The following is an 11,705-nucleotide window of genomic DNA, read 5'->3' on the forward strand; positions in this document are numbered from 1 at the left end:
CTTCAGTAAGGACACAGCCTACCTGAGCTTCCTCAGCTAGATGGCTGACTGTGACCACTCAGGGTCAGCCAGGACTGCTGAGGCAGGGGCCGCTGTGGGGTGTCATGGGAAAGGACCTTGCTGGTCTTTCCTTGGCATCTTGGGAACTGGCTTTGAACTATGACCTGACCTTTCACAGACCACTTCCCCACTCCTCCAGATCATCAGTCAGGGCTTCTGACTCAATCCCCTGCAGCACTACCTAAGGATTAGGTCCTCAGAGAGGGAACAGAGAGGAGGCCAGGTAAGCAGCCCACAGCTGGGGGCTCAGAGGCCTGTGGGTCCTGCAGCTGTGACACACATGGAGAACTCAAGGCTCAGGGAGGAGCCTGCAGTGAGAAATCCCAGCCATCCCTGGACTGGGGCAGAAAAGCCCATCAGGGAACTGTAACACTCATATTTCAGAATTGGGGAACCTGAAGTGCCTAAGAGGCAGAAGTGGCAAAGGTCAATGGGTGAGAAGCAACGCTCAAGGGATAGCTGTCTCATCATCCTTCTCTGGCTCCCTTCTATGCCTTGAGGCCTGCTACTACCTGGGGCTCAGTATGGGCTCAACTAGAGTGCACGCAGGGCATGCCTAGGTCTACGTACTTCTAGAATGGCTATACCAGCCGTGTCATGTTTTGTTTCAATGACCCCAGGCTCCCCTGACATGCTTTATCCCCTCTGCCATCCTCACTCATGCTTCCCCGGCTCTCAAGATATTTCCTATGACATTAAAAAATAGACATAAAGTTTTTAAAATGCCTTAATAATATAGATGCAGATAAAAGATTTCATTATAAAAAGTGCTTTTCCTCTTTACTTGTATCAAAGTCTTTTTCATGATGGGGAAAAGAATGCAACATACTTTGGTAAGTTAAAAAAGCATAAAAGTAAAAATAAATCCTACTGCAGATGATCAATTAAATGGCAGGGGATCTTCTGTGTGTGTCCAGGGAGGGTACGTGGCTGAGCAGTAAGCCTCACCTGAGTATTGGTGTAGACACCCAGTTTCCCTCGTACCAGTGTGGGTATGGGCACGTTCCAGTTTGCGTGTCCAGCCTGTGTGTCTACGCTGATGCACGCATGTGCACACCTGTGCCTGTGTCCCTTTGTGTACCTTGGTTTTGGGAGGGCTGACACTCCTGCCCACAGGTGTGCCTCAAACTCAGCTCTTAAGCTGGCAAGCAGGGTGCCACTGGGTTTGGCAATCCAACTTCAGGACCCGTGAAGTCTGCATGCTAGGGAGAAGCAAAGAGTCCTCATGGTTCTCACAAATGGCAGAGGGAGGAGGAAAAGGGTGGCTGGCACGAGCTACCTAGACGAGATGTCATAAACCTGAAATGACACCCAGAGGGATATAAAACCTAGTAGCTGCCTGTGTTTACCTGTGTGTTCGGCCGGGGCATTCAGGTAAGAATCAGTGAAACCTGCAGGGCTTTGGGATTCGCTATTCGGGAATCCCTGTGCACCAGAGTCTCTGGCCCATGAGAGAGGACAGCATGTGGGTCCGGCAGGGCCTGAGTCTCCAGGGAGGCTGGCATTCTCCCCAAGAGGGCATGGGTCGGTAGGTGGAAGAGAAACCTGGGCTGTGGGTTCAGGTAGATGGGACACCTACCACTTAGCCAGGTGGGAGCTCAGGAGAGGGCCAGGAGAGCCTAACTGGCCGGTGACACCCCGTCCCAGTGCTGGGTGTGCGCACACGAGCTTTGCCCCATGCACCCTCTCCAGGATGCCTCACCTGGGCAGACAGGAAGCAAGGCACACAAGATCCTAAGCTTATGGTCATGAGTGGACCCAGACTGGGGGGTCCCTAGGATCACTGTTCCCAGGAGAACCAGGCATGCAGGGTCTCTTCAGGACAGGGGTAAAATGCATAAGCCCTGCTCTCCACCCAGTGAGTGTCATGCCCTGATGATGTCAGCCATGGCAGATACAGGTCTTCCACCTAGATTGCAGATCCACAGGCTTACAACCTCCCCCTGGCCTTCTCTGGGACAGACCCCTGGACTCTGAAACAGCCAGTGCCCCAGGACTGTTCCTTCCCCGCCTCCAAGCTCGTGGGAGGCTCAGTGGGGACTCTCCTCCTAGTACATGGCCACCCACAGGCACTGTCAACAATCCAGGGCCCTTCTACATTCCAGGGTCCTGCCACCTTACCCAGCAGTGGGATAATGGGGAGGGAAAGAGTGGGAACAGACAGAGCGGGGGCCACAAGCCTCACCCTCCCACATGGCAAGGGAATGAGGAGATCCTTCTCAGCCCAGGCAGCTGCTTTCAGAACACACACCTGGAAGCCCAGCACCAGCTGAGGGATTCACTCTGCCACAGCTGGGCATGGGGGATTTCATTGGGGATTTCATTGTGTGCTGGGGAACTTGATCCTGGTTGCCATACCAGGTGTACCTCTCTTCCAGATCACAATATGCTCACACCCTCCTTTACCTGAATGGATTCCTTGTCCTCACCACATGGTGTTAGCTGGAAATGCTACTCCTGGTGCCCCAATTGCTGTTTCAAGGTGCAGAGACTGACCAGCAGACCCCTGAGTCCTTGTCCTCTTATCCAAGTAATATCCATAGAAATAGTAAAATAGTGGCACATTAGACCTAGTGATAATTTTAAGGCTGATCTCTTTATAAGCATTTCATCAATATATTTATGACTTTATCTCGTGTATTTTATTTATAACTGTCATTTCAAATTCAATTTTTGCTCAAGAGTTATTTTAACATATAGCGAAATGTTCAGAGCTATGATACATAGGTTTCAAGTTTAAAAGTCTGTATCTGCTATGATTTTGGGAAAAACCCACAGAGCACTTGTAAAAATAGGTAATTATTAGGCATGACCACTGTAGTGGTTTAAAACACACTTTGAAATTCTTCTCAAACCCATTTGAAAATATTCCTGATGGGACTGAACACAGTACTTGCTTGTAATGAATAGAAAACAGTGCAAGCATTTTCGGGATACTGGACCACCTCTGGCCTAGTTTAGAAAAGGTGACACAGCTCTGCCCAAGTCTCCTGCTCTCATCCCCCTTAGGAGCCCCCGACCAGTACACCACGAAGTCTAACACCCTGATAACACTACACAGAAGGGACATCCAATGGAGAGACTCAAAGAAATAGAAAAAGATGTCTGAGGATCTCAGCAGTCCAGCCCCTGCTATTTGAGTCACGCTAGCCATGGCACCAGGGAGATGGGAAGACACCCGCCAACGTCCCCATCCTTGGCCATCACTAGATTGCAACCTCCTGAGTGCCCCTGAACCATATTCATTTGGCTGAGAGACTGAGGGCGATTGCAGAGACTGACAGTTAGTAAATTATAATTATTGTTTAAGCCACTAAGTTTTAGACAATTCTGAAAAGCACTTTAGACTCCTAGAAAAACTGAGTTGTCTACTCATTTAATTGCAGAGAGCTGTAAAGGCTAACATCATGAATAATAATAACCTGGAAAAGTCAAATCATCAAGATTCTTCTAAGCACAACAGATCTTTAATGCCCCTTTGCTATGGCTGAAGAATAATCTAACATACACCTGATAGAGATGTTTGAAAGCCTCTGTTCACATCTCTCGGCAGGGTAAGGGTCAACTCTAGTCTGGTTTAATTCTAGGTAACTGCAGCAGTTCACCTTTCATTTTAGGTCATGGCCTATGCTGATTTTTTGATCACTGACTGTGTCTTTGTCTGTGTGTGTGTTTTGTGTGTTACGATATTTTATCTGAGGATGCTAAATAATAGTACTATAGTTGTTTTGTAAACAAAAAACATTCCAGGAAGTCAGTATTGTTTATAAACTGAGCTTTAAAACAGATACGAAATTAGACATGGCAAGATGCCATGTCTAGTATCATACCAAAGCTAGCCAAGCTTGGTGGCTCATGGATGTTATCCCAGCTACTTGGAAGGCTGATGCAGGAGAATCCATTGAACCTGGTGATGGAGTTTCCAGTAAAGTGAGATCACACCACTGTGCTCTAGCCTGGGCAGCAGAGCGAGACTCTGTCTCAGAAAGAAAAAGAGAATAAAATAATAAAATAGGAGAGATCACTGAAAAGAGAAATGCATAAAACTGGGTGGGCATTGTGGCTCATGCCTGGATCCCAGCATTTTCAGAGGATGAGGTGGGTGGATCACTAGATGACAGGAGTTCAAGACCAGCCTGAGCAAACATTGTGAAACCTGGTCTCTACCGAAAATACAAAAAACATATAGATATATATACACATACATACATACAGGATTGGTGTCATATGATTGCAGTTGCAGCTGCTTAGAAGGGTGTGACTGGACAACTGCTTGAACCCAGGACAGGGAGGGAGCAGTGAGCTGAGATCACGCCACTGCACTCCAGCCTAGGTGACAGAGCAGGATTCTGTCTTAAAAAAATTAAATGAGATAAAAAGATATAAAGAAAAAAAGAAAGAAACACAGGAATGAAGAAAGGAAGGGAGGGAGGGAGGGAATGAAAATTTGTATGTAACAGTTGTAGATACTTTTGGCATACATGTGATATTTTGATACAAGTAATGTGAACTGGTAAGCGAGGGATCAAAGAGGGGATGGGGGTGGGTTAAATTATACTTGCTTAGAAGGAATAATATCTAGTGTTCAGTGGCACAGGATGACTACACTTAATAATGATTTATTGTACATCTCAAAATAATTAATAGAGCGAAGGTGGAATGTCGCTCGTACCAAGAAAAGATATACCAGACTCAGTGAGGTGGAATGTTGCTCATACCAAGAAAAGATATGCCAGACTCAGTGGCTCACAGCTATAATCACAACACTTTGGGAAGCCAGGGAAGGAGGATCATTTCAGCCTGGGAGTTTGAGACCAGCCTGAACAATATATCCAAAGCATTGTCCCTACCACACACACACAAAAGCTGGGCATGGTGGTTGGTGTGTGTCTGTAATTCCAGCTACTTGGGAGGCTGAAATGGAAGTCTGGCACATTTGAACCCCGTGTCCAAGGCTGCAGTGAGCTACGATGGTGCCACTGCAGTCTAGGCTGGACAACAGAGTGAGACCTTGTCTCTAAAAAAGAAAAAAGAATTGATAAGTGCTTGAACTGAAGGATACCCTATTTATTATGTATATATTTGTTGATTTATATAATTATTTTTGGTTTGGAGTCACACTCTGTCACCCAGGCTAGGGTGCATGGTGCAATATCGGCTCACTGCAGCATCAGGCTCCCAAGTTCAAATGATTCTCCTGCCTGAGCCTCCCAATTAACTGTAACATACTACAGGCAGGCACCACCATGCCTGGCTAATTTTTGTATTTTTGGTAGAGATGGGGTTTCATGGTGTTGGCCAGCCTGGTCTTCAACTCCTGTCCTAAAGTGATCTGCAAGCCACGGCCTCCCCAAGTGTTAGAATTAAAGACCTGAGCCACCACACCTGGACAGTAAGATACACAAGACTAGGGAGATTTATCTTTTCACTTCATCCTTACAATGCTACAGGTGAATGAAAACACAACTTCATAACATGAATACCTCACTTGAATATCAAAGTTGGCAACTTCTCCCTTTAAAATTATTCGTACCCTTACCCTATAAAAATTGATGATCTTGTCAAAATTTTTCAAGAAAATACTTCCTCCTTGCAGATTAGTCTGTCAATTGTTAATAACTAAGGACTGTAAAACTTCTGGAACTTGATGTATTTCATTTCTTTAGTTTGCAAAATCAGGAAAAATAATTGATTTAGTTATTTAGGTCCAAATATTTTTATCATTCCATGATTTCTTAAAACTTTCAGCAATCCCGTCTGAAACTTTATGCTGTTGTTTATATTTTACACACTTCACTTTCCCCAAAGTATGAGGTTTAAAGTGTTTCCATTCATATTAGAAAACTTGAACAGTTTGCAAGGGAGGCATAACGTATGCCTAATTTTGTATCTATGTTCAAAGAAACAAAGGAAAATGTACAACAAACTACACAATTTTCTCTCCTATTGAATTTGCTTTAAGCATGTGCGGCTAACCAATAACACCAGGCATTTTGAAATACATGTAAAATCTTATTGTGAAAATTTTAAGGTAGATATTACATCTAAACACTTTTCAAATAGCATCAACAAGTATGAAATTACTTTGAAAACAATTCCTTTTCCTTTGAATACCTCAGAAAATTCATGGAGGAAGTTAGTATCTACCTCTCTCCACAAAACCAATATGTTTCTTTTAGTAATATGCAGGTAATGCAGCAGAAATAACATTTCAATTTTTGATTTGCAAACAAGGTTTGGTATGCAATAACTATTATTTTGAACCCATGCTTTAATATCTGCTTCAGTCTCCTTTTTCAGATCAACTTTCACCACCATCTACTGTAGATGCCACATAACTTGAGCTACCATATGCTTCACGAGGAGCAGGGAGCACCCTACCCAGAGAAGGCAGATTCCTTTGGTCTTTTCTGCAAACCTACTCATGATCACAATAATGAAAATCACCACAGCTCCTGGAGTAACTCTCCCAACTTCTGCCATATCTATCTCGAGTATTATTATAATCATGGCATGTGCTTCCGCCATAAGACATCTGAGGCCCTCGTGCAGGTGGTGCACCATGAGAGGTCCCTGCATGGTTGACAAAATAATATGTTGGACTACCTTTGAACATTTTTACTGCTATCATTAAAGCATGAATTAGTTAAAGTACTATTTGGAAATATCTGCTTTCTTCTGCCTTTGTTGACAGGACATTAATCAAGTCTTCAACAGTCAGAAGGTTTCATTTAAAAGAAGTATAAGAGTAGTATTCTGAAGCTTAACAAACTTAATTCTAAAGTAAATGTGGAGTCACATTTTCTTAACGTGAACTGAAGTTCTCGCCTTCATAACATTCCCTATCTTTATACTGTTAAGAATACTCAATATTTAAACATGTTGCATATGTCCTTTATAATTTTCCTTAGAATTTCCTTAAAATAACAATCTGGTCTATTACATAAAATTCTGTAATTTACAAATCCATCCTGGACCCTTACCGTATCTCTGAAATGCATCTCTATAAGAACTTCCACTTAGATGTTCAGAATGATCTCTACCACGGGCCTCACCGTAGCCATCATGGTAACTAAATTGAAAAAAAAAAACATTTTTAATGTTAGAATGAACAATTTAAGAAATCTATTTGGTAAATCCAGATAACATGATAGTACCTATATCCTCTAGAGGAATGTTCATCCCAACTAGGATGACCATAATCACGGTATGCATAGTCTCTAGGTGGTGGAGCATAATCCCTGGTTTCTCGGGAACTTTGATGATTTCTGTGTGCACAAGTTTAAGCAACAAATTTTAAATTTTCAACTTCCAGTATCCAAAACATAACTAAATTACAACTTAAACACAATTAAATTGCCAAACATCTAAAAAAATGCCCAAAGAGTCCAAATGCCCAAAATGCCCAAATGCCCAAAAAGCACATGAAACAGATACTCATAATGAATGATTCAGAAAATGCATTTCAAATCCAACAGGAGCTTCCATACTTCACACACACACATTGGAAGGGCAATAAATTTTTTTTATTATACTTGAAGTTCTAGGGTACATGTGCATGATGAGTTAATGGGTACATAAAATGCATTTCAAATCCAAAATGAGATATCATATTTCACACACACACTGGAAGGGCAATAAATTTTAAGAAGCAGGAAATAACAAGTGTTTGAGAGGATGCAGATAAATTGGAGCCCTGATACAATGTTAGTTGGCATGAACAACTTAAGCAATCTGTTTGACAAATCCAGAAAAAGTTACAGTACCTATATCCTCTAGTGGAATGTTCATGCGGACTAGAATGACCATAATCACAGTATGCATAGTCTCCAGATAATGGAGCATAATCCCTAGTTTCTCGGGAACTTGGATGATTTCTGTGTACATAAGTTTAAGCAACAAATTTTAAATTTTCAACTTCTAGTAACCAATATACGACTAACTTACAACTTAAACAAAATGAAAAGTCCAAACATCTAAATAGATATTTCTCCAAATAAAATAGGCAAATGGCCAAAAAGCACATGGGACAGATACTCAAATTCAGTGATTCAGAAAATGCATTTCTTTTTTCTATTATACTTGAAGTTCTAGGGCACATGTGCATGATGAGTTAATGGGTGCAGAAAATGCATTTCAAATCCAAACTGAGATATCATATTTCACACACACACTGGAATGGCAATAAATTTTAAAAGGGAGGAAATAACAAGTGTTTGAGAGGATGTAGATAAACTGGAGCCCTGATACAATGTTAGTTGGAATGAACAATTTAAGAAATCTATTTGACAAATCCAGAAAAAGTTACAGTATCTATATACTCTAGAGGAATGTTCATCCTGACTAGAATGACCATAATCACGGTATGCATAGCCTCTAGATGGTGGAGCATAATCCCTAGTTTCTCGGGAACTTGGATGATTTTTGTGTGCATAAGTTTAGGCAACAAATTTTAAATTTTCACCTTCTACTATCCAATATATGACTAACTTACAACTTAAAATTAAAAGGCCAAACATCTAAATAGCTATTTCTCCAAATAAAATAGGCAAATGGCCAAAAAGCACATGGGACAGATACTCATATTCAATGATTCAGAAAATCCATTTCTTTTTTTTATTATACTTTAAGTTCTAGGGTACACATGCATGATGAGTTAATGGGTACAGAAAATGCATTTCAAATCCAAAATGAGATATCATATTTCACACACACTGGAAAGGCAATAAATTTTCAAAAGCAGGAAATAACAAGTGTTTGAGAGGATGTAGATAAATTGGAGCCCTGATACGTTAGTTGGAATGAACAATTTAAGAAATCTATTTGACAAATCCAGAAACAGTTACAGTACCTATATCCTCTAGAATAATGTTCATGCCGACGAGAATGACCATAATCACGGTATGCGTAGCCTCTAGATGGTGGAGCATAATCCCTAGTTTCTCGGGAACTTCGATCATTTCTGTATGCATAAGTTTAAGCAACAAATTTTAAATTTTCAACTTCTAGTATCCAATATATGACTAACTTACAACTTAAACAAAATTAAAAGGCCAAACATCTAAACAGATATTTCTCCAAATAAAATCGGCAAATACCCAAAAAGCACATGGGACAGATACTCATATTCAGTGATTCAAAAAATGCATTTCTTTTTGTTTTATTATACTTTAAGTTCCAGGATACATGTGCATGATGAGTTAATGGGTGCAGAAAATGCATTTCAAATCCAAAATGAGATATCATATTTCACACACACAGTTGAATGGCAATAAATTTCAAAAAGCAGGAAATAACAAGTGTTCTAGAGGATGTAGATAAACTGGAATGCTGATACAATGCTAGTTGGAACGGAAAATGATGCAGCTACTATGGAGAAATGTGGTGGTTCCTCAAGAAAACAAACATAATTATCATAGGACCATGCAATTCCACTCATATACACCCAGAACCGAATAAGCATACTCAAACAAATATTGGTGCGTAGAAATACTCGGGTGGAAACAACCCAGATAAAATAATGGGTTAATAGCTTCTGGAGGGAGTGAAGTGCTATGATGTAAATGAACCTTCAGGACATCATGCAAAAGGAGAGGAGACAAATACAAAAAGTCATGTAGTGTTTGAGCACATTAACATTAAATACCCACAACAGGTAAGTTCAGAGGCAGAACACTGACTGGTGTTTGCTAGCAGCTGAGGAAAGGGAGAAAATGGAAGGGACTGCTTAACTGGTAGTTGGAGTTTTAATTTGGAGTGGTGAAAACGTTTTGGAACTCGATGGAGGTAGTTGTTGTATGGCACAGAATGTATTAAACACCACTTAACTGTTCACCTTATAATATTTAATTTTGTTATGTGAATTTCATCACCACAACAAAAAAAAAATCAACTGTGTTTTTTAATTTTTCCTTTACCCATCCTTTGTTGCATAACCATCATCTCTTGGTGATATATGATCATTTCTCCAGGAAGAGATTGTCACTCTGCATGGAGGAACTCCATATCTCTCTCTTCTTTGTGACATAGGACCTTTAACATTAAAATGATGGAACATTATGTAGAGAACACCAAATCTGAAACGCTATTTTCTCTTCTCTCAAACTACTTTTTAAAATTATTTTTTCTATGACTCCATTCTTTGTTTCCTAAATTACTAGACACTCATGACACTGTGAATACTTCTTATGGCTTTGGAGAATCCCATGGCTCCCACAAGGCCAGTTCTTCTAATGAAGCTGAAGGCAAACATTAATTCTTAGGTAAAAGTTCATTTGTAATGGTTAATATCTACTTAGTTATTATTTTCTTTTTCATATAAATTACTGATGACTGTGAGTGACACAGGGAAAACATGTAAAACCATCAAACTCTTCACTGATTTTAAAGTTTACATACATTGTCCTTTCTCAGCCAAAGATGGTGAATTTTCCAATATCATTCAGTCCATCTCACACACATATAAATACAGCTACCTTTAAATGACTATATGCTAAATGTTTACATAAAAGTTCTTTATCTCTAACTGGTTGGCTCTATCTTAAATGTTGACAAATTAAAATGTATTAGTGAAGATTTTCTAATGATGGTCAAGATTTGCTTTTACTGCAAAGAAAGCAATGCTATGCAAGGGGTCATTACAACATTGTTGCTATTTCAAAATAGAAAGTTTCTCCTTCAATATATTCTTCACTTGCTATTCCTTAGAGGTCAGTGTTTCACATATGATACGTTCACTGGCTAATTTTCCAATGGAAATGTGTTGGCTTGGGTATCCTGAAGCCAATAAATACCTCTCTTCACCGATACTCTACGTATGAAATGTAAAATTGAAAACAGCAGTTTTTAACTTCCTCCATATTCGGATGGAGGACTAAGAAAGAATTTTAATTTGCTCTGCTTAAACTTCCTTCCTAAGAACTTTTATTTATTGTCTTATTTTCTTCTGTTCAGTCTGCAGTCTTACAATTCTTTCTCAAGAGTATTACTTGCATTCAATCCTACTGCTCACCTCATGTTGCTTAGTTCTAAATTCTCTCCTCAAATAATTTCAAATCTTACACTAAGGATCTTGTGTTAATGTTTAAACATCCCGGTACAATCTCAATTACTGATTTACATACACCTATATTTCACAACTCTGCATTTCTGTGATACCCACTTAATTTAAGCATTTTGGACTCCTACGTGTCTACCTTTCAAGGCTTAAATTTATTTTTAAATCATATTTAAGCCCAATGACTCCTTGTCTGCTAAATGCTCTTGTAGTTCTTTTGAATCTTCATGCAAGCAGTGAGTATGCCTTGCACATACGCATTACTGAGGACTCAGAAGTTGGATGGCCAGGCTTAGCGGCTCACACTGTGAGTGAGTGTGGAAGGCTGAGGCAGGTGGACCGCTTGAGCCCCGGGCTTTAACATCAGTTTTGACAATGCAGTCAGATCCTCTCTCTACAAAAACATAGGAAAAAAATGTACCTAGGTGTGGTGCTGCATGCCTGTAGTTGCAGAAACTCGGGAGGCTGAAACAGCAGAATTGCTTGAGCCCAGGAATTTGAGGCTATAGTAAGCCGTCATCTCACAAATTTGAGGCTATAGTAAGCCGTCATCTCACAAATTTGAGGCTATAGTAAGCCGTCATCTCAC

This window comes from Homo sapiens, chromosome Y (assembly GCF_000001405.40).
Source record: "Homo sapiens chromosome Y, GRCh38.p14 Primary Assembly".
Taxonomy (NCBI): domain Eukaryota; kingdom Metazoa; phylum Chordata; class Mammalia; order Primates; family Hominidae; genus Homo; species Homo sapiens.